Here is a 25,647-nt window from a genome sequence, read left to right on the forward strand (position 1 = left end):
CAAGTAGCTGGGACTACAGGTGTGCACTACCATGCTTGGCTAATTATTTTACTTTTTGGAGGAATCAGGGTCCCACTACATTGCCCAGGCTGGTCTCGAACTCCTGGGCATAAGGAATCCTCCGGCCTCAGCATGCCAAAGTACTGGGATTATAGGTGTGAGCCACCGCAGCAGGACACCCAGCTAATTTTTAAACTTTCTTGTAGAGGTAGAGTCTCATTTATGTTGTGTAGGGTAGTTTAGATCTCCTAGTCTCAAGTGATCCTCCCACTTCAGCCTCCCAAAGTGCTCCCAATTACAGGTGTAAACTACTTCATCGGGCCAATGTCTATTTTTGCTTAAGAATGTTTACTGGGCTATCATCTGTGAACAAAATATGGCCTAAAAAGGCATTCTAGACTATATATAAAAGATAAGCTATAAATGAGTTATGTCTACAACTTATCACATATACTTAAAATCATCTGAAAGTACTAATCTGAAAACCATTCAGAACTGCAAAATTAAAAAAAAAATTCAAAAGCAGAGATGGTTAGTAACCATCTATATGAAACCTAACTGTTGCTCTTTCAGATATCCCTATAAAGCATGCAGCATTCTTACCCCTAACCTTTATTATTTTAATTCAGTGGTGCTTAATCCAAGCTGCCCATCAGCATCACTTGTGGTGCTTTTTTGTTTTGTTTTTGTTTTTGTTTTTGTTTTAAGATAGGATCTCACCTGGTTGCCCAAGCTGAAGTACAGTGGCATGATCATGGTTCACTGCAGCCTCGACCTCCCGGGCTCAAGTGATCCCCCACTTTGGCCTCTTAAGCACCTGCGACCACAGGCGCATGTCACCATGCCTGGCTAATTGCTTTTTTTTTTTTTTTTGTTAGAGACAGGGTCTCACTATGTTGCCCAAGCTGGTCTTGAACTCCTAGTTTAAGTGATCCACATGCCTTGGCCTCCCAAAGGGCTAGGTTTACACGTGTGATCCAGCCCCCTGTAGTGGTTTTCAAATATATAGATGCTGAGGTTTTCTACATCTGGGGATCCAATTCAGTAAGTAGAAAGCAGGGCCTGGCACCTACATATTTTAAAGGCTCTAAGGCAATTCTGATAAACAGCTAGGATTAAAAACCTTTACCTCTAATGTTATGATGGATATTACAGAACCCTGCTATCCAACATGTGGTCCACTGAATAGAAGCACTGCTATCGCTTGGGAGCTTGTCAGAAATGCAGAATCTCAGGCCCTACGATGTACTGATCCAAAACCTGCATTTTAAAAAAGATCCCCATATGATTCCAATGCACATTAAAGAAAGGCTATTATAGGTTTTACAACAAACTAGTTAACTAAGAAACAAAAAGGACCACTCACTTGGTAATAAATATATCTGCACAGATAAGTATGTAACAGTGAAAGGTGTTCAATAATATCACATAAGTTTCATGTTTAAAGTTTTGAAAGTGTATACTTTTACAGTGCACTTTATAATAAAATAGGCAGCCTAGATTAAGCACCGAGTTAGAATAAAAAGGTTAGGGGTAAGCATGCTTTATAGCGATATCTGCAAAAGCAACAATTAGGTTTCATACAGGTGGTTATTAACCATCTCTGCCTTTAAAATATTTTTTTTCTGTTGCCGTCCTGAATGATTTTTAGATTAGTACTTTTAGATATATTTTTATGCTTTTCTTTAATAAAAAAACTAACATAGCAAATGTTATATCTCACAAAACCAAAAATAAATCTGCCAAGAAGCCTTTATGATTATAGCCATAAAAAAATGTTCAGAGTAGTCAAATTTCATATCTGCTACAGTTAAGATGTATAAAGAATAAAAACTGTCTTGGTCTGATAAGACTGATACCTACTGTATAATTTATGTCACTAATATTAAAAGTCATACTATATTCTGAATCTACTACAATATTTAATAGATCATCTTTCGGTTAAATATATGAAGGCACTATTGAGATCAACATCACAGAAGAATTTCCACATGAAAAAAATTAGCTCCAATTTTTCAGCCATCTGAGATCACTATATAACAAATATTTGTCAGTGATAGCAACAGCAACTAGGCAAGAGGACAGATCTGGCTCAGTAAAAACTAACCACTGTTTTAAAAAAATCTCACTTTAAATCTTTATGAACTTCTTGTATCTTCATAAGTAAAGATAACTATTTTAATAAATGTAACTAGGAAGAAACCAAAGACATAGATGGTAACCTTTCAAATTAATTAGCAGTAATCAAAAATTAATTTATTCTAGCTACCCTGAATTATGGTGATTCTTTTTTTTCTGGTCTTATCCAGCTATTGAATATTAAAGTGAAGATCGAAAAACAGAAAAGAGCTGGGTGTGGTGGCTTACGCCTGTAATCCTACTACTTGGCGGGTGGATTTCCTGAGCTCAGGAGTTGGAGATCAGCCTGGGCAACATGGTGAAACCCCGTCTCTACTAAAAATACACAAAATTAGCTGGACATGGTGGCATGCGCCTATAGTCCCAGCTACTTGGGAGGCTGAGGCAGGAGAATCACTTGAACCCGGGAGGTGAAGGTTGCAGTGAGCCAAGATTGTGCCACTGCACTCCAGGCTGGGCGACAAAATGAGACTCTCTCCAAAGGAAAAAAAAAAAAAGAACAAAATGACCAGATTATTATTTCCAAATGCTCTCATTTAATCAATTGAACAACAAAACCATAGAAATTCAGATAGAGGGCACATTAAAATATTATTTATATTATTATTTTATAATAAAATTATTAATATTACTAACACTATTAAACTTATTAAATATTATCTGATTTTAAGATAATTGAATGCGTAATTATGTTCCTCTCAGAACTTACTCAGAGGGCTAAAATGCAAGAGAAATTCCATCTATGGTAAAACTAGGAAAAATCTGTATATAAGCTGAATATATAAGCTAAAATGTATAAAGACAAAGTAAACCAGAGAACTAACTAACTTATAGAACAGAATAAACTGAAACACCACTATCAAAAGAGAAACAGACCATTAGCCCAACAGGAGTCAGGTATGAGATGTACCAGATACAGGGGTGAGGCTTTGGTTAGAAAAAAGGGAGACCAGCTGAACACTTGTGAGGAGTAATCAGACACAAGTTTTCATTGCCAAACTAAACAGCCAGGTGATTATTCTCTAAAGAAACCAAACTAGAAAGGCCCTGGACTAGGAGACATCAGGTATACAGGAGGATGACATGAAGTACTACATAAAAGCATTAAGTGAAAGTTTACATGATAAGTAGTGAAATCCTCAGCCCCATTCCCACTGTCAGCTCCCACTGTCAGAATTATGGTAGCTGGGTTAATTATTCAGAAGACAAACACTGGCAGGTGTGTGTCTAATAAAATGATCCTAAGGTTACCCGTCCCTGATGTACACATCCTACAACCTTGGGACTGTGAATTTGACAGATTTTACTCCCAAAATTAAGTTACGTTATATAGCATTGTTGACCTAAAGACAGCGAGGTTATCCTGGTGGGCCTGACCCAATCAAATGAGCTTGTGAAAGGCAGAGATTTCTTTGGCTGGTTGGAGATAAGGAAGTCAGAGATTAAAAGCACAAGAAGGATTCTACTTGCCACTGCTGACTTAAAGATGGAGGGTGCCACATGTCAAAGAATGTGGGCAACCTTATGGAGATGACAGCCCATAAAAAAAATCAGGATCTTGGTTCTACAATTGCAAGGAACTAAATTCTGCTACCAATAACAATAAATTTGGAAGTAAATGTTCACCCACAGCCTACAGATAAGGAACATAGGATAGCTGATATCAGCCTTGAGACCATAAGCAAGAGAATCCAGCCACACTGTCCCCAGATGTCTGGCTCACAGAAATTTAAGAGATAATAAGTGGGCGTTGTTTCACACCACTATATTTATAGTAAATTGTTATGCTGCAATAGAAAACTAATCCATGCTGTACAGTGAAATGAACCAACAAAACATGCATCCAGACTTTCCAATTTAGCTTTTTATGGCATTGCTATAGACTAAAAACAGAACCCAAGGATCACCAGACATCTGAAGAAAATCTTAAATATGAAAAGCCAACCAAAGTATTGAAAATGAGACTGAAATTTTATAATGCCAAAATTATAAAGCTTTGGGGAAGGAGAATAGGGACAAGTGGTACAGAGACAGGGTAAGTCATAAATAAGTTTGGCAACACCAGAAGTTTAGTAACTTTAAAGGTCTGAGAGTGGTTTTTTAAACTGGAACTCTATACCTAGCTAAACTATCAAGTATGAGGATAGTAAGAAAGGCATTTTCAGACAGTCTAAAAAATTTTACCTCTCAAGCATCCTTTCTCAAGAAATATATTGGATACCTAAACCTTGTTCAATCTCAACATCACAAAAAGAGAAGCAACCAGACAGTGCCTATGTGATACATAAGGAAACACACAGCATTATGAATGACTATTCTTGTCAAAATCAGAATAAATCTGAATCTGATCAAGTATCTGGATCTAAAATAGGAAATACAACACACAGAAGCACAACTGGCAAAATCCATAAAGTGAGAGAAATGACTATTTCTTCAACAAATAAATAGAAAAAAAAAAAAGAGGAACTGTTATGATTAAACTTAAAACAATTTTTTTTAATTTTTAATTTCATGGGTACATAGTATGTGTATATATTTAAGAAAAATAATTAACATTAAAACTATGTAAACCTGGTTTGGATCCTGATTTAAACCAACTGTAAAAAGACAGAAAATAATTGAAGAAATCTCAACATTGACAGGATACTGGCAATATTAAGGAATTACTTTTTTTTCCTTTAAATCTGAAATAGTATTATGGCTATATTTCTTTTTAAACACTCTTAATTTACAGATACATACTAAAATATTTATATATATGAAATGGTATGGTGCTTAGATTTGCTTTAAATTAACATAGGTGGCAATGTCAGCAAGGTGGTAATAGGCAGATATGAAAAAAGACTGCCTGTACACTGAAGGCTGCTGAAGCTGGATGATGGATAAACATACACAGGTTTCATTACGCTATTCTCTTAGATTTGTATGTGAGAATTTCCATTTAAAAAGGGAAGGAAATAAAGGAGTGAGGGAGAGGAAAAGTGAAAGAGAGGTGGAGAAAGAAAGAAAGGGAAGTAGGGGGAAGGCTAGCTTGTTAGCTACCATAAAGAAAATATAAAAAATAGAAATAATTACACAACTTAGAAAAATGAAGCAACTATTTGCATCGTATGAAAAGGTATCTTATCTCCAAAAATCAGCTTTTATGTAAAATCTACTTCCGTGTAACATCTTTGAATCTTCTTGTGCCTCTTGGGGCCACAGAAAACAAATCTATATGACAGTCTCTTAAGCATTTGAAGAACACTTTATTCAACCTGAGTCTTCTTGTCTTCAGGAGAAACATTCCCTGCTCCTCTGAGGTATATTTTTAAATAATTTCATAATCTGCATTTCTCTCTCATAAACTTCTAGAGCAATGTCAAATTGCCGGAAAATGCTAAATTAGGTCTCTACTCTTCTGTACAAATAGTTTTCTTTACTCCAAGACAGGACCGTGCACATGCCCTGATTATGTTTCCAAGTCTATTTGGTTAAGATCCTTTTAATAATCCATTCTAGAATTTTACCTTGGATGGAAATCAAGTTTAACCATGAATCCTTCAAATATTTAAATACCGGTTGGGCACAGTGGCTCAAGTCTGTAATCCCAGCACTTTGGGAGGCTGAGGTGGGTGGATCACGAGGTCAGGAGATCGACACCATCCTGGCTAACGCAGCGAAACCCCGTCTGTACTAAAAATACAAAAAATTAGCCAGGCATGGTGGCAGACGCCTGTAGTCCCAGCTACAGCAGGAGGCTGAAGCAGGAGAATGCCATGAACCCGGGAGGCGGAGCTTGCAGTGAGCCAAGATCCCACCACTGTACTCCAGCCTGGGGGAGAGTGAGACTCCGTCTCAAAAAAAAATTAAAAAAAAAAAATTTACTGTATTACAAGATGTTTACTGAAAGCATTATTGAACAGTATTAGGTCAGTTTTATGCTATAATAAAGTAGCAGTTTACATGCATTGCATGTATAATAGGTAGTGCACTGGGGTTCTTAAACCATGAACAATTAGTGTTCATAGTGTATTTATGTCTACTTTACAAAACCTAAGAAAACATCATGTCTTTAAAATGATTATAGAGATTTCATTATCACTGCCTTATATTTAAGATATGATATATAGTGCTAAATATTTGATTGTGTGTGTGTATATATATATACACTCCTCAATTAAAACATTGTTCCTATGGGGATAATATAATGATCCACTTCACAAAAATACCACGATGATTCACATGAGGTTTCAGCCTACAGTCTCTAACAAACAAGTGGGGAAAATTATATATTGTCAATTCTCATTATTCAGTTATTCACAGTAGTTATGTTAAGTCGCTAGAAACACGGAATTAGCAAATACTACACTCAACCACTGCTCCTGGGAGAAATATAGCGTTAGCCAGCCCCTGGCCACAGCATTGTCATTAATGCACATAACCCTGTTTTACGTGTGTTTCTGTTTAAATGTACGTTTTTTGTGTGTGTCCTTCCAACTTTTATTTTAGGTACAGCGGGTATACATGCAAGTTGGTTATGTGGGTAAACTGCATGTTGTGGGGGTTCAGGGTACAGATTATTTCATCACCGAGGTAATGAGCATAGTATCTGATAAGTAACTTTTCAATCCTCACCTTCCTCCCATTCTCAAGTAGGCCCTGGTGCCTATTGTTCCCTTCTTAGTGTCCATGTGTACTCAATGTTCAGCTCCCACTTATAAGTAATAACGTGGCATTTGTTTTTTTGTTCCTGCGTTAATTCACTTAGGATAATGGGCTCCAGCTGCATCCATGTTGCTGCAAAGGACATGATTTTATTCTTTTTTATGGCTGCATGGTATTCCATGATGTAAAATATAACTTATTTAATATATGTTGTTGATTCATTAACATTGAACTCACAGCCAACAGCAGTAAAACTCATGCCTGAACCTAAAACATGTTTTTCCCAAAAGGCACATCACAGCATTCTCACACTTAGGAACACTAGACAGCACTATGCTTGGGCGCCATTTTAAACAGTGAGTGGGAGGGACTGTACATCATGGTTTGAGTGCCAGCTAAGACACAGTACAATAGAATATCAGACAGATTTCTAAGGTTTTTGACCTCAGTCCCTGGCTCCCAGATGGCATCTCTAGACCAACTCAGGGCCTAGGGGAACTAGCCACCCTGAAGGGAAAAAAAAAAGTCTGGCTGGCTTCACCACTGAGATAGATGGAGTAAGATGGCTGAAAAGGGGGCTCTAGTGATCTCCCCACCCCTCCCCAAGTTTGGCAACTATCTACACAAAGTGAGCATCTTCATAAGAACCCAAAATCAGGTGAGCACACACAGTGCCTGGTTTTGACTTCGCATTGCTGAAATAGGCATTAAAGAGGGTAGAAAAGACAGTTTTGAATTGCCAATGACACCCCTCCCTAATCCCCTAGCAGCTCCCCACATGGTGCAAAGAACTGTGCAACTGTAAGACGGAGAGCATAGCAACTGTGAGCCTTTGCATTGAACTCAGTGCTGCCCGGTCACAGCGGAGAGCAGAAACAGGCTGAACTCAGCTGATGCCTGCTCGTGGAGGGAGCTTTTGGACCAGGCATAGCCGCAAGGAAATTGTCCATCCCAGCAGTCCAAATTTGACTTCCAGCAAGCCCTGTCAACACGGGCTGCAGTGTTCTGGGGCCCTAAGTGAAGCTGAGGGGCAGTCTAAGTCACAGGACTGCAATTCCTAGGCAAGTCCTAGTGCCAAGATGGACTTGGAGTCACTGGACTGGGGATGGGGAGCAGGCAACTTCCTGAGCCACCACTTGGGTGGCTAAGGGAGTGCTTGAGTCACCCCTCTCCCAACTTCAGGCAGCACAGCTTAAGGCTCCAAAAGAGACCCCTTCCTTCTGCTTGAGAGAAAAGAGCAGAGACAACTTGGTCTTGCATCTTGGATACAAGCTTAGCCACAGTAGGATAGGGCACCAGTCAGATTCGTGAGGCCCCCCATTCCAGACCCTAGCTCCTGGACAATCTTTCTACACACACCCTGTGCCAGAAGGGAACCTGCTCCCTTGAAGAAAAGAACCCACCCCTGGAAGGATCCATCACCTACTGACTAAAGAGCCCTTGGGCCCTGAAGAACCAGCAGCGACACCCAAGTAGTATGCCACCTGCCTTGGTTGAGATTCTGAGATGTGCTGGCTTCATGTGAGAACCAGCACATTCCCAGCTATGGTGGCAACAGTGACAGCACAGTTGGGGTCGGGGGGCGGGGGGCTGTTAAGTAGAAAGTGGACTCTCGGGGTCTCCTATTCCAAGGCTTGGCACTTAGATGACATTTCTGGAGCTGTCCTGGGAGAGAGGGGGCCCACTGTTCTGAAGGGTGAGTCTCAGGCCTGGCAGCTTTCATCACAAGCTGACTGAAGAGCCCTTGGGCTTTAACTGCACATTGGCGGTAGCCTGGCAGTACTCCCTGTGGGCCTCTGGTGGTGACGGCCATGGGCTGAGACTCCTTACCTGTGGAAAGAGGAAGAGTGGGAAGGACTGTATATCGTGGTTTGAGTGCCAGCAAAGATACAGTACAATAGACCCTCATTAGATAGATTTCTAAGGTTTTTGACCTCAGTTCCTGGCTCCCAGATGGCATCTATGAATCAGCTCAGGGCCTAGGGGAACCTGCCATCCTGAAGGGGAAAAAAACAAGTCTGGCTGGCTTTGCCACCTGCTGACTATAGAGCCCTAGGGCCTTCAGCAAACATAGGTGGTAGCCAGGTAGCAGTCACAACGGGCATTGAGTGAGACCCAGTGCTCTGCTGGCTTCAAGTCTCACCTAGTACAGTCCCAGTGGTGGTGACCACAGGGGTACTTGTGTCACCCCAACCCCAGCTCCACATGGCTCAGAGGGGGGAGAGAGAGAGAGAGAGAGAGAGAGAGAGAGAGAGAGAGAGAGACTGAGACTCCATTTGTTTGGGAGAAAGAAAAGAGAAGAAGAGTCTCTACTTGGTAATCCAGATAATTCTTCTAGATCTTAAATAAAACCACCAAGGTGGTACCTCTATGAATCCATAAAAAATCATAGCGATACTGGGATTGGGGTGCACCCCAATGCAGACATGGCTTAGATCACAATACCCAAGTCCCTTCGACTACTTAGAAAGCCTTCCAAAGAAGGACAGGTACAAACAAGTGCAGACTGTGAAGACTATAATAAATACCTAATTCTTCAATGCCCAGACACCAACAAACATCTGCAAGGATCACGACCATCAGAAAACATGACCTCACCAAATGAACTATATAAGGCACCAGGGACCAATTCTGGAGAAACACAGATATGTGACCTTTCAGAAAGAAAAATCAAAACAGTATTGAGGACACTCAAAGAAATTAAAGATAACACAGAGAAGGAATTCAGAATTCTATCAGATAAATTTAACGAAGAGACTGAAATAACTGAAAAGAATCAAGCAGCAATATTGGAGCTGAAAAATGCAACAGACACAGTGAAGAATGCATCAGAGTCTCTTAATAGCAGAATTGATCAAGCGGAAGAAAGAATTAGTGAGCTTGCAGACAGGCTATTTGAAAATACACAGTTGAAGGAGACAAAGAAAAGAATAAAAAAGAATGAAGCATGCCTACAAGATCCAGAAAACAGCCTCAAAATGGCAAATCTAAAAGTTATTGGCCTTAAAGAGGAGGTAAAGAAAGTGATAGGGGTAGAAAGTTTATAAGGTAAAGGTATAGTAACAGAGAACTTCCCAAACCTAGAGAAAGATACCAATATTTAAGTACAAGAAGGTTACAGAACACCAAGCAGATTTAACCCAAAGAAGACTACCCCAAGGCACTTAATAATCAAACTTCCAAAGGTCAAGGAGGTAAGGATCCTAAAAGCAGCAAGACAAAAAGACACAAATAAAATACAATGGGGCTCCAATACATCTAGCAGCAGACTTTTCAGTGGAAACCTTACAGCCCAGGAGAGAGTGGCATGACATAAAGTACTGAAGGCAAAAAAATTTTATCCTATAATAGTACATCTGGCAAATATATCCCTTAAACATGAAGGAGAAAGAGGGACTTTCCCAGACAAAAGCTGAGAGATTTCATCATCGCCACTTCTGTCCTACAAGAAACACTAAAGAGATTTCTTTAATCAGAAAGAAAAGAATGTTAATGAGCAAAAAGAAATCATCTGAAGGTACCAAACTGACTGATAATATTAACTACAGAGAATATTATAACACTGTACCTGTGGTGTGTTAACGCTTACCTTAAGTAGAAGCACTGAAAGATTAACAAATCAAAAATAATAACTACAACAACTTTTCAAGACATATGCAGCACAGTAAGATATAAACAGAAATGACAAAAAGTTAAAAAGTAGCAGACAAACTTAAGGTGTCGAGTCATTGGTTTTCTTTTACCTTGTTAAATTTGTTTATGGAAGTGGTGTTAAGCTGTTATCAGCTTAAAATAATGGGTTATAAGATAGTATTTGCAAGCCTCATGGTAACCTCAAATCAAAAAACATACAATAGATACAAAAAATAAAAAGCAAGAAATTAAAACATATCACCAGAGAAAATCACTTTCACTGAAAGGCAGGAAGGAAAGAAGGAAGTTAACAATACAAAACAACTTGAAAACAAATAACCAAATGACAGGAGTAAGTCTTCACTTATCAGTAACAACACTGAATGTAAATGGACTTAAAGGACTACAACCAAAACACATGCAGAGGCTGAATGGATAAAAAACAAGACCCAATGACCTGCTGCCTACAAGAAACACACTTTACCTATAAAGATGCACACAGAGTGAAAATAAAGGGATTGAAAAAGATATTCCAGGCCACTGGAAACCAAAAAAGCGCAAGAGTAGCTATACTTACATTGCACAAAATAGATTTCAACACAAAAATATGAGACAAGATCATTATATAATTATAAAGGGGTCAATTAAGCAACAGGATATAACAATTTTAAATACATATGCACCTAACACTGGAGCACAAAGCTATATAAATACTAGAGCTAAAGGTAAAGATAGAACCCCAATATAAAAATAGCTGTAGACTTTAACATTCCACTTTCAGCATTGGACAGATCTTCCACAGAGAAAATCAACAAAGAAACATTGGACTTAGAAAGAAAGATGGCAGAGAGGAGAGGAGACAGGGCTAATGTGCAGCTCCCACTTGGATGGGCAGAATAGCATGTGGAGACTCACACCACAAACTCCGGCTCTAAGAACCACTGCAGGAACATTACCAGGAAAACCAAAATAATTCACAGATTCTCTGAAAGAAGTGACACATCGCTGCAAATTCTGCAAGACAGTCAAATAACTGTGAGTTCCCAAAGTACAAGAGCAGGAAAACCTGTCTCCAAACACACATGTCCACTGGGGAATCTGAAAATCCAGATCACAGGAGAAGGATTTAACCTCACCTATAACAAAAATGAATACAGGGAGCCACATGAAATATAAAGGTAGAAGCAGCAGTGGGAAGAGCCTTGTAAGCACACCCAGTCTCCAGCTCGAGCCCAGGGAAGCCATCCCTGACTGCATCTGATAGGGCCCTCAGGGAAGGCAGCTAGCAGAATTAGGGAGGGGTCACAGGGTGAAAAAAGCTTCCAACTGAATTTCATAATAATTTCAACTGGGCATAAACTTTCTTCAGCAGAACCCACAGGGTAAATGGGAATCCTCCCTAAATCATTCTATGAAGCCAGTATCACCCTAATACCAAAACCAAGAAAGGAGAGGAGGGGAGGGGAGGGGAAGGGAGAAGGAAGGCGAGGGAAGGGAGGGGAGAAGGAAGGAAGGAAGGAAGGAAGGAAGGAAGGAAGGAAGGAAGGAAGAAAACTACAGATCCCTGATGAACATAGATGCAAAAATCCTCAACAAAATACTAGCTAACAGAATCCAACAGCATAGCAAAAAGATAATATACCTTGATCAAATGGGTTTCACACCAGGAATGCAGAGATGGTTTAACACATGCAAGTCAATAAATGTGATACATCACATAAAAGGAATTAAAAACAAAAATTGCATGATCATCTCAATGATGCAGAAAAAACATTTGATGAAATCCAGCCATCCCTTTATCATTAAAACCTTTAGCAAAACTGGCAGAGAAGGGACATATCTCAAGGTAATAAAAGCCATCTATGACAAACCAACAGCCAACATTACACTAAATGGGAAAATGTTGAAAGCATCCCCCCAAGAACTGGAACAAGATCTGGATGCCCACTTTCACTATTTCTATTCAACACAGTACTGCAAGTCCTAGCCAGAGCAATCAGACAAGAGAAACAGACAACCAAACTGATAAGGAAGAAGTCAAATTATCCTTGCTTGCAGATAATATAATCTTATATTTGGAAAAACCTAAAGACTTCAGCAAAAAAACTATTAAAACTGATAAATTCAGCAAAGTTGCAGGAAACAAATCAACATACAAAACTCAGTACCATGTCTATATGCCAAGAACTAACAATCTGAAAAACAAATCAAGAAACTAATGCCATTTACAATAGCTACAAATAAAATAAAATACCTAGGAAGGAACTTAATCAAAGAAGTGAAAGATCTCTACAAGGGAAACTATAAAACACTGTTGCAAAAAATTGAAGACGACACAAGAAAAATGGGAAAATATTCCATGTTCATGGGTTGGAAGAATCAATACTGTTAAAATGTACATACTACCCCAAGCAACTTACAGAGTCAATGCAATTCCTATCAAAATACTAATGACATTATTTACAGAAGTAGAAAAAGCAATCTATATTGGTCTGTTTTCACATTGCTATAAATAACCGAGACAGGGTAATTTATCAAGAAAAGAGGTTTAATTGACCTACAGTTCCACATGGCTGCGAGGCCTAAGGAAACTTACAATCATGGCAGAAGGTGAAGAGGAATCAAGGACCTTCTTCACATGGCAGCAGGAGAGAGAAGTGTGAGGAGCGGAAGGGGAAGAGCCCCTTATAAAACCATCAGATCTTGTGAGAACCCATTCACTATTACAAGAACAGCATGGGGGAAACTGTCCCCATGATCCAATCACCTCCCACTGGGCTCCTCCCTTGACACATGGGGATAATGGGGATTACAATTCAAGGTAAGATTTTGGTGGGGACACAGAGCCAAACCATATCACAATCCTAAAATTTACAAGGAACCTCAAAAGATCCAGAATAGCCAAAGATATCCTGAGCAAAAAGAACAAGACTAGAAAGAATCACATTACCTGATTTCAAATTATACTACAGAGTTATAGTAACCAAAATGGCATGATTGTCACATAAAAGTACACATATAGACCACTAGAATACAATAGAAAACCCAGGAATAAATCCATACATCTACAGCCAACTCATTTTTGACAAAGTTGCCAAGAACATCCAGTGGGGAAAGAACAGTCTCTTCAATAAATGGTGCTGGGAAAGCTGGATATCCATATGCAGAAGAATGAAACTAGACCCCGATCTCTCACCATATACAAAAATAGAATCAAAATGGATTCAAGACTTAAACATAAGACCTCTACTATGAAACTACTAAAAGGAAACATTGGGGAAACTCTCCAGGACATTAGAATGGGCAAAGATTTCTTGAGTAATACCATAAAAGCATGGGCTCCTAAAGCAAATAAGGACAAATGGGATCACATCAAGTTAAAAAGCTTCTGCACAGGAAAAAAAAAAAAATCAACAAACTGAAGTGACAACCACAGAATGGGAGAAAATATTTGCAAACTACCCAGCTGACAATGAATTGATAACCAGAATATATAAGGAGCTCAAACAATAGGAAAAAAAATCTAATAATCTGATCCAAAAATGGGTCAAAGATTTGAACAGCATTTCTCAAAAGAAGACATATAAATGGCAAATACACATATGAAAAGGTATCAACATCACTGATCATCAGAAAAACGCAAATCAAAACTATAATGAGACATCATTTCACACCAGTTAAAATGACTTATCCAAAAGACAGGCAATGACAAATGCTGGAGAGGATGTGGAGATAAGGGAATCCTCATATACTATTGGTGAGAATGTAAATTAATACAACCATATGGAGAACAGTTTGGAAGTCCCTCCCAAAAGTAAAAATAGAGCTACCACATGACCCAGCAATCCCACTCCTAGGTGTACACCCAAAAGAAAGGAAATCAGTATATTGAAGAGGTATCTGCATTCCCATGTTAATTAGAGCACTATTCACAATAGCCAAGATAGAGTAGAAGGATGAATACCAGAGGCTGGGGAGGGTAGTTGGGGCAGTGGGGATGGTTAATGAGTATCAAAAAAAAAAAGTTAGAAAAAATGAATAAGACCTAGTATGTGCTAGCACAACAGAGTGGCTATGGTCAAAAATAATTTAATTGTACACTTAAAAATAACTAAAAAAGTATAACTGGGTTGTTTGTAACACAAGGGATAAATGCTTTAGGTGATGGATAGCCCATTTACCCTGATGTGATTATTATGCATTGCATGCCTGTATCAAAATATCTCATGTATCCCATAAATACTTACACCTACTATGTACCCACAAAAATTAAAAATTAAAAAATTAACACCAACAAAAATCACAAAAATGTGTAAAACCTGGCATTAAATAGGCCACAAAAGGACACTTATTTATAGCAGGAGAGCTGAAACAAGAATGTAGAGCATCACTTTGTTCGACTTCTACTGGGAGCATGCATGTAGGGTGATTCAAATGTTCCACCACTTTATACATGCCTATGAAAGACCGCTAGTACTGATTTTGAAGTTAAAATGCATTTTTGCAGGTAGGCAAATTCACAAATACATAATTCACGAATAATCAAACTCAACTGAAAAATCTCTCTTTGTAAGGTCAACTGTAGCACATGGACTTTACTCTGGTAATGAAAATTACAATATGCTTTAGTAAAACGCTCCATGTAATTCAGCAGAAAGTAATCAATTAACCTTTATTAATAGTATCATTCTAAATACCCAATATCATTCATTTTTAACAAGAGCTTTTATTAGATTGATGTGCAACTTTACATAACAAGGTAGACTTATTACTATGTAGAGTACATACCTGCAGCTTCTAGTAAAGCTTCCAGTCTAGCCTGTGTTTCTGGATCTACTGTCCTGAGGTCTGCACCATCAGCAGTACCTGATAAGAGCAACTTGGAAGCTGTTTCCAGCATTGGATTTTCCAAATCATCCTGATCCAAAATGAAAGACTCCACCTATAAAACAAATGCAAAAAGAGGGAGGAAGGGAGAAATGAACAGCGAAAGGAAAAGAGGGGAGAGAAATAAAAAGAAAGCAGGGGAGGGAAAAAATATGTTAACATAATTAACAATGGTAAACACAGTGCAACCCTAAAAAGTTCAACATGACATCTAAGCCTGTTGATTAACAAAAGAAGAAATTTTTTTGTGGAAGAATTCAAAACTTTATTTCTCATATGCAGCCTAATTTTCTTTACTAATATTCTTTTCTACTTTAATTTGGTTATTAGGTATATGTAGGGTTGAGTGTGATGCTTAGGTTGTGAAAACTTTAACTGTGAATAGAAGACCTAACTAAATCAGCAGTTTTTAAATGTTTTGCTTTCAGGACTCAATGAAGTACTGAACTCCCAAGGACTTTATATAAACCCTGTATTTCTTGATATTTACCATACTGGAAATTAAGTAACAAATATCACTATCAAAAAATCACATTCATTAATATCACCACTGATTTCATCCAAAAAGTCTTTAAGTACTGGAAAGCTGTCAAGCCTAGGCAAACAAGTTCCAAAATTCTAATTTTTGCTTCAAAGCTTAACTTTATCATTGGCAACAAGTATTGTTGTTTTCCTTAAAGTGACAGACTCACTTCAAACATTTTTAGAGGAGCATTTGCCAAATATCCAAGTTTGATAACTATAGTTTTTCGTTTGTACTTTACCATAAAAATGACATTTCATGGGGGAAAAAAGGCTAATTCACCTCACATCTAAAAAAATTGCAGTTATTTTTCCTCCAGACAAACACTATACTTTTTATATGCAGCAAAAGTGCTTTATGTGTACTTCCCATTTTGTTACACACACTAATATTGAAAGAACATGCATTCAAAAGGGGAGTTTTCATAAAATGAATAATTTTATCGCTTCATCAAGAATATTCTTAAACTAGCATTTAATTTTTTTTTTTTAACTTCAAGCACGTGGTAGTGAAGAATACAATCATATCAGTACAGTTTGTTTCCATGGCCTTCGGGTCCATAAGTTTTACCCACCACTGTTTTTGCACCATCATCGTAAATGTCAACATAGTAAAAAAGTCAAGTAACATCTCAATATTATGATAAAAATAGTTTTGACCTCATGGACACCTTGAAATGGTCTCTGGGCCCTGAGGGGTCTATTTACTGTGTTAAGAAACACTGATATAAGTCTAGCCGATTCAAGTAAATTTAAAGAATTAGAAAATAACAAACTCCTAAGACAGGGGTAAAGTTTTGTTTTGATATTCCCTATCACAGTGCTACTTACAAATAGGTACTAAAACATATTCTTTTCTGCTTAGTGATAAAAATTGGTAATTATTATATAAAATATCACTAAAATGATCAGTTTATTTCACAAATCTAAGGTACTACTAACACTGCAATAACCAAAATAGATGTAAAAATAACTAATAAGCTAGAATACAATCACGCTCATGCCTAGTATCCAGAAGGTCAACAATAAAAAAGACAACTTAAGGAATAAATCCTTAACCATCATAACCTCAGAAACGATACTGTTCCATCTTGAAAAGTCAACTATCAAGTAACCAGGAATACTGCTATAATTAATCAAAACATTTAATACTAAATTTTAAATCTGGGAAGAAATAATATGTTTCTCTACAAAGTTCCATTAAACTAAAGCAGTTTAACGTGGAATAACATTTGAGATTTCAAATATTTTATACACAAACACAACATTCTAAAAATATTCTGTAAATATTTTTTAAATTTCATAAAATTTTGTTCTACATTAACTTTAATTAATCTATAACTCCTTATGGCAAGGAGATAAAAAATACAAAAACAATTTTTTAAAATTATATATATTTTAAATTATATATATATGTGTGTGCATATATGTGTGTGTGTATATATATCTGTGTATATATGTATATATGTGTGTGTGTGTGTGTGTGTGTATATATATATATATATATATATATATATATTTTTTTTTTTTTTTTTAAAGAGACATGGATAGTCTCACTGTGTTGCCCAAGCTGGCCTCAAACTCCTGGGATCAAGTAATCCTCCTGCCTTGGCCTCCCAAGTAGCTGGGATTACAGGCACACACCACGCCTGGCTGATTTTTTATTTTTGTAGCAACAGGATGTGGAATTCCTGGGCTCAAGTGATCCTCCCACTTTGGCCTCCCAAAGGACGGGATTATAGGCATGCACTACCAGGCCTGGCTAATTTTAAGTTATCTTTAAAGGTAGTAGTAAAAGTATGAGAAAGGAAGAATTTTAAAGGCTGACTAAAGTATTATACTTTAGGAAGCAAATTTTTGGGCACAGCAAAGAGTGATTCAAAATTATAGCAGTAAAAAAATTTGTTTTATTGTCAAAGGTCCAGAAGATGAGTCTTTCTAAAGAAAAAGCTGTTTCCTAATGAAATTTTCTAATATCTGAAATTTATTAAAATATTTACAATTATTTCAATTTAATAAGAAAAGATAAAAGCAAATAAACAAATGTATGAAATTGAACAGGTAAAATGAATAGATGAAATACCATAATACAATATTTTAAATGAACATTTTAGAAAGTAGAAGACATCAAAAAGCAGTATATAGTTAACTGATTAATCAAAGGTAGAGATCAGAGGTGCTAAAGATGTTCAAAGGAGACACTGCATGCATAAAGAATAATATAAAAGGATTTTGACCAAAAAAATTAATTTGTATAAAAGAAGAGAAAGAAGGAACATGGACTGGCAAGTAAAAAATTTCTATGTGATAGAACACAGGGTTTTACACAGGGTTTTACTGTAGGTTTGAAAAGATAGGTTAGAAGTTAGATCACAGAAGATATCAAATTTCAATCAGAAGCGACTGTCTTACACAAAGTCCCCTATGCCACAGATATCCTAACTAGCCTGGTGAAAACTTACTAGGAAAATTGCATTTCCATCTCTTGATGAGATATAATAAACACAGAAACATTTACTTTCTACTGACTTTAAGCTTCTCCACAAAAGTTCTTATGTTATTCTTAGGCCCACTATTCTCACTATATGCAAAACTTGGTAACTTAAAAAACTGTAAATTCAAATGACTATGAAATTCTTATAGACAGCTTTAGAAAAGAGAGGGGCTATCAAAATGACAGAAAAGAACAGGAATGAATATTTATTATTTCCTCCCTATCCCTCATTTATGATTAATGAAGGAGCTACTTTCAAGGACACTGCTAAAATATGAAGGCCTAAGTACCAGAATTGCTTTAGCTGTTACCTATGTGACCTAACCAAGTCTCTCTCTCAGCCATCTATAACTTTAGACCCCCAATTCTGCTTAATTTTTTCATAGATTTATCACACATGAATATTATACATACAGTCTTTCTAAGCTCTGTAAAAACAAACACTTTTTTTGGTTTAGTCATGTACACCCAGCAATTAGAAATGTGTCTAACTCACTGTCAGGATTCAAGCAACTATTGAATAAGTCAGAATCTGTAAAGAAGGTGAAATTTACCAGATGATTTTGGTATTCTTCCCTTTCAGATTCTAAAAGGCTCTAGTGTATTTGGAGAACAAAGGGGTAATCACAATAAATACATCTAAAGGTATATTTTATAGATCTTAGAGGAGATACAGAATCTTACATTAGGTAGTAGGTGGTGCAAAATGCTATCTTCATTGATTTATTACACACACATTTATTGCAAACATTCTATGTGTAAAAAATACTGTTTAATACTATGGGAGATAAAGAAATGCATGATACCAGCCTTGCTATGTAGGACCCTACTTCTTTAATGAGTGTGTGTAAAAATGAACCATAATACAGGATAGAAAGTGCATAAGGTAATGAGAAAGAAAAAGAGGTATAAAAGTTCAGCGAGGAAAAAGAGAACTTCCTCCTTTAATTCCAGTTCCTCTTTTTCCAACTAGAAAGAGCTCGCGTTACATTACAAAACAAGTGAAGAGAGACTGGCATAAAGAGATGCAATCTTATAAACATACAAAAATAAGTATTCCTTTATTAAATTATGGGCATACACCTCTCTGCCATACCACATCCCCAGCTGAGACAGTTCAGATTAAAAACTAAAATGAATTTTCCCTCTGAAACCTATCGCATTTTTATTATATTATTCTACAGAAAAAAAATCATTTTGAATCACAACCAACTTCTGGAACATAACAAACATTAAAAATGGTCCAAATAAGAAATTAAAATAAGTATTTGAGCTGGGCACGGTGGCTCACGCCTGTAACCCCAGCACTTTGGGAGGCCGAGGCGGGTGCATTGCCTGGGGTTGGGAGTTCGAGACCAGCCTGGCCAACATGGTGAAACCCTGTCTCTACTAAAAATACAAAAATTAGCCAGGCATGGTGGTGCACTCCTATAATCCCAGCTACTTGGAAGGCTGAGGCAGGAGAATCACTTAAACCCGGGAGGTGAAGGTTGCAGTGAGCCGAGATCGAGCCACTGCACTCCAGCCTGGGCGACAGAGCAAGACTCCGTCCCCACCAAAAAAAAAAAAAAAAAAAAAAAAAAAAAAAAAAAAAAAAATTTAAAAGAAAGTATTCGAAAATATTTTATTTGAATGAAATATATAAATAACTTCCATGAAGAGAGAAGACAAAGGAAAGAAATGTCCTTACTAAATGTATTCTCTAAGGGGGGAAAAAAGTTATCAAAGTTACAACTGGCCTTTTTTAAAAGTTGTATTTAAAGTGGTTTGAATGTGTTGTTTTGACCAGCTGGATATTTTATGAAATGATGTTTAGGCATAAAGAACCATCAAAATGCAAGAGGCGTAGAAATCACCAGGTTCAATTCAGTGTTTACACATGAAAAAACCAGACACAAGGACCTTTATTTAAATAGGAGATTTCTAAATACCTAGCACCAAGAGACCAGTTATCCAATTAACTAGCTCAATATACTTTCCACCAGCAAATACAATGCTGGAATAATAAGGGGTTGAACTTTCACACTGCTCTGGGAAAGGTGACTTTAAATTTTACATTTAGGGATCAGGCTGTTAACTACCTGAACCCATTGTTTAATTACTAAAAGTGGGACAAACAAACCTAACATGCCCCCGATTTATGCAACATAAAATACACAGCACCTCCTATAAAGAATTCTTGTCCCCCCAATAAACAATAATCTACTAGAACTTTTAGACGTGTAAATAACTTCCAGTACATGAAAATTAGTAAAGCAAATACAGGAATAAGATAAATCAATGTTTCTCAATGTAAAAGCACTATTAACATTTTGGACCAGATAATTCTTTGTTGTTTGGGGCTGTCTTGTGTAATTTAGGATGTTTAACAGCAACCCTGGCCTATACTCACTAAATGCCAGTTAGCAACACTCCTTCAGGTTGTAACAACCAAAAATGTCTCCAGACATTGCTAAATGTTCCCTTAGAAGAGAAAATTAAAAACAACAACAACAAAAATCATGAAGGAGAAAGAGGTTGAGAATCACTGGGTTAAATATAAGCCAAAAAGGAAAGTCTAAAATGTGGAACATTTTGCAGCAAAACTGACCATTTCCTTCAAGTAAGTAGAATGGGAGCAAAAAATCTTTTTTGAATAGAGTAAGAACTGTTCTGAATTACAGAGACTCGAGAGATATAACCAGCAAAATAATAGGTCTTACTTAAATCCTATTCAAACAGGACAACTGTAAAAACAGTATTTTTGAGACAAGAAATCTGAATGTGAACTGGGTATTAGATAATATAAAGGAATTACTTTGGTTATGTAAGAAAATATCCTTGTTTTTCAGACATGCATACTGAAGTATGAAGGAATAGTGTCGGAAATTTGTCATCAAATACTTAAAGAAAACAAAGCTTCATGGCAAATTCTTGAAAATGTTGCATCTGAGAAATAGATATATAGAGGGTTTTTTTGTTTTGTTTTGTTTTTTTTGAGACAGGGTCTCACTCTGTCACGCAGGCTGGAGTGCAGTGGCAGAATCTCGGTTCACTGCAGCCTCTGGCCTCCTGGGTTCAAGCGATTCTCCCACCTCAGCCTCCTTCTCTTCCTTCAGCCTCCGGAGTAGCTGGAAATACAGGCGCATGATACCAGGCCCACCTAGATTTTTGTGTATTTTGGTAGAGATGAGTTTTCACCAAAACACAAGTTTTGTGTATTTTGGTAGAGGTGAGTTTCGGCCTCTCAAAAGTGCTGGGATTACAGGCGTGAGCCACTTTTACCCGGTCTATAGAGTTTTTTTTTATACGAGTCTCTGTACTTTTGTTCATGCTAAGTCCTTTTAATTTTGAAAGACTAAAGGTGATGACATTTCACTGTAGAAGTTGCTTTTATTTAAACAGAAAAACTATTATTTAACAGTAATATTACTTAGATTTCTAAGATAATTAGAATTCTTTTTCACTTTCTCCCCAAATTAAGTCTGACTTAATACAAATATTTAATAATGAAAACCAAGGTCTTTTAACAATGGTCAGAGCTGAATGAATTTGTTTGTCATTAACGGTAATTCAAATCCTTCTACACTCAAAACACAAAGTCACATGGAAATTTGGTAATGCGGGGTCATTTGGACCAACTGTCATCGTTAGCATTACATTTCAAACTACTCCTCAAGTTAGAAATATTACTGCCATACTAGAGAAGAATGGTTCGTTCTGTAGTTTAATAAACTCGTATTTATTCCAAAGGATAAGAAAATTAGTATATTTTGGCCGGGTGCGGTGGCTCACGCCTAATCCCAGCATTTTGGGAGGCCAAGGCGGGCAGATCACCTGAGGTCAGGAGTTCGAGACCAGCCTGGCCAACATGGTGAAAGCCTATTGCTATTTAAAATACAAAAATTAGCCAGGTGTTGTGGCAGGTGCCTGTAATCCTAGCTACTCAGGAGGCTGAGACAGGAGAATCACTTGAATCTGGGAGGCAGAGGTTGCTGTGAGCCAAGATAGCGCCATTGCACCCAGCCTGAGGGACAAGAGCTAGACTTCCTCTCAAAAAAAAAAAAAAAAAAAAAAAAAGAAAAGAAAACTAGTATATTTTAATTAACTGATACCATACATACAAACTCCAACTTAACAAATAACTACAAATTACATACTAAGTGCAAAGCAGTAGGCTACTCATTGGATTATACAAACACAAAAATAATTTTGTTATAATCAATACCTTCCATAAATACACAATAAAGAAAGGCAACTCTATGTGCAAATAACTATCAAACAAGTTTGAAAGAAGTACTAAACAGATACTAATACAGTGATTGTGCAGAGAAATGAGAAAACAATTATGAATGAGAGTGCTAAAAGCAATGATGCTTCAGGAAGATGGCGCCTTTCAATACTGTGCTGCGTTCAGAATTTATATTAAGTTACTGAAGGATTTAAGCATTAAGGCAAATAACTGGTAAAATAAAGATAATTAGAGACCATGTTAAAGATCATTTTAGACAGCTGTGACACCAGAGACAAAACAACCAATTACGAACTTAAGTAAAACAAATGCATTATGTGAGGTGAAGATGGAAAAAAGGGCCAGTCTCTAAGCATAAACATACTTTATAAAAGTAAAATGCTGGCAACCGCAAAATTTAGACTTCTTTACATTCAACACTAACCCCATCCCCCATCTGATGTTTTCCGAAGAAAAAATAATAATAAATAAAAAATATTTAAAAAATAAATAAAAAATATTTATTATTGTTTTTGTTGTTCTGGAAAATACCCTATTTATCAATGAATCTCAAAAGCTGGTAATAAATAAAAATATTTATTATTGTTTTTGTTGTTCTGGAAAATACTCTATTTATCACTGAATCTCAAAAGCTGGTAATCTGAATTTTAAACCAGTAATCTACATTTCAGAAAAGGTGTTCTAAATTTTGACTATATTATAAAAGCATTTTAAAACAAATAATCCCCACACTTATTCCAGGAAAAGAAGTTATCTTCAGTCAAAAATTTACCATACTTAAAATTTTAAGATCTCTTAATAAATCCAGTCAATGCAGAAAAATCCCTCCAAAAAGATTTTATATTTTTTCTAAATTTTTCTTTTAGTAAGTGTCAATGATTGATTTTTAGGACCAATTTAGACATTTCAGTAACATAAAATGGGTTTACAGACATAAATCCATAACTAACACCACTTTGGCTACAAAAAATAAAAGTTCATTAGAAATGACTTACGGCTATCATTATGGGATGAATTATATAACTCATACATATAAAACATATTCACTGATATTCAAAGCACAGGCTATGTGAACATAATTGAAGGCAACAACAGTCTTAATTTTGGTTTTATCAATATGAAATACATTTTACATATGAATACATATTTTAAAAACTGAATATTAAAAAGTGAATAGAAAAATTAAGAAACTTGAGTTTATGATCATTTTATGACAGTGACTGAATAAATTCTTAATTTATTAAGAAATTATAATAATTTCTGGCTCTCAAGTAAGCCTGGAAAAATATGGCTATCTGCTCTTATAGTTCTTTGAATACTGATAAGCAGATTTACACATAAAATAAGAAATAAGAAGTATTCATAATTGTAAAGTCATCACAATTTAGTCTCTTCTGAACATGACCCAGAAATAATTCCTTTTGTCTGTATTTTTTATAGTCTTAAATAAGGGTAAACTTTGATAAAATACCACAATTCTTAATGGGGTAAATTATTCCAAAATTAATACAATTCAAATATTTTTTCTATACATACAAAGACAAAATCTTCAGTAATGTCACAGAACACTAATCCAAGTATAAGACTGAAATTTGAAAAGTTGAAAGAAAATAAAAACCCACTTAAAGAAATAAAATCTTTCTTGTAAAAAGAATGGTCAATGATTCATTATGGTATTCTGAGATTATAGTAAATAAAACTAAAGTGAACCTCATTAAAGATAATTTACCTTTCAAAAAGTCTATTTACAGAATAAACCACTGATCTATTCTTATATTTTTTCATTCATACTTGTCTATCAATTTGACAAATATTAAGCAGCTACTATAATCTAGGAATCAGTGATATAACAGTTAACACAGCTTTGTTCTATAGCACTTTCGTAAAACGTGACTTCTTATGCTTCAAACTGCTATTTGCCTGCAACAATTGAGTATGACATTACTAACAATTCAATATAAAATTTTTAACATAAACTTTACAAAGTGGACAAATTATGAATATTTCAAATAAGACAAAGTTCTATGGAATTCTCAAATCTAGAGTTTCTAAGTGGTTTTTCTGTAACAGAATTAAAGTTATATGGTTTGTCAAAAATTCTCCCAAAATTACTTATCAATAGTAGGATGCAATTCAATTATGAATTTAGCCTGCTCCAGGAATTATCATTTATCAATTATTGTAAAAGCAGCTGCAGAATATAAATATTCTTATAAGATGGCTTTACAACACACACAGATACACACACACACATATATACACACCACAAAACCTGTAGTCATAAGCCTGGTGACATTTCAAACTTCTAAGGATATAAAGTCTAGAAAACTTCCAGGATGGTAGCAGTGGGGACCTGTTAGGGGTCAGACTGACATCAGACTTCCTAAATACAGCACCAGATGCTAGAAGATATCTGTGCAATTAAAAGTTCTGATGAACAGTTTGAAAGTAAAATTCCAAACTGTATAATGAAATTTTTTTAGGTATGTAAACACTATGAAATTTAAAAGCCACAAACATTTTCTGAATTTAGAGAAAATATTACTTCAAGAAGAAAAACCCATCCAAGAAAGGGGCAGCCTTGGAATTGCAAGACTAAGCAGCTAGAAAAGAAACCAGTATAATACAACGTATTTTTAATATCTCAGGTAATTCTTAATATATGATTCACTAAAGTTATAAAAGTGGAAGTGAGACAGGAAAATGGGGTCTGTTGGCAGGGAACATAAGGCCGAGTCACATTTCGGCTGTAACAGGAAATATCCTCTCTGTTAGAGTATATGCCATAAATGACTTTGTAACTTTACTTCATCTCCTCCATTTACATAGGACATACTGAAGTAACCAATGGAATCCTCTAGAGGGGACTTAAACTCTCAAAAATTCTGTAAGGAGGCCTTTGAGCACCAATGCTTGGGCCTGCTCCCACACTGTTGAGTGTACTTCCATTTTCAATAAATCCCGTCATTCCTTCCTTGCTTTGTTTGTGTGTTTTGTCCAATTCTTTGTTCCAGATGCCAAGAACCTGGACATCCTCCACTGTTAACAGAAGTATATAACATAAATATATCACAAAGATTTCTGATTATTTTGA

General features: G+C 36.3%; 1 protein-coding gene across 25 annotated transcripts in view; it reads right to left on the reverse strand.

Annotated features, from left to right (window-relative positions):
- Window positions 1-25,647, reverse strand: part of ANKRD17 (ankyrin repeat domain 17) — a 185,423-nt gene that overhangs the window by 88,797 nt on the left and 70,979 nt on the right. For 23 of the 25 annotated variants that reach the window (XM_005265671.5, NM_198889.3, NM_015574.2 and 20 more), the window contains exon 2: window positions 15,208-15,361. In XM_005265671.5, the coding sequence (XP_005265728.1) occupies window positions 15,208-15,361 (154 nt within the window). Of the gene's footprint in view, window positions 1-1,129; window positions 1,235-15,207; window positions 15,362-25,647 lie in introns of those variants that run through there. The other 2 variants (XM_047450041.1, XM_047450040.1) reach the window with 2 other exon arrangements.

Source organism: Homo sapiens, chromosome 4, assembly GCF_000001405.40.
Source record: "Homo sapiens chromosome 4, GRCh38.p14 Primary Assembly".
Classification (NCBI taxonomy): Eukaryota; Metazoa; Chordata; class Mammalia; order Primates; family Hominidae; genus Homo; species Homo sapiens.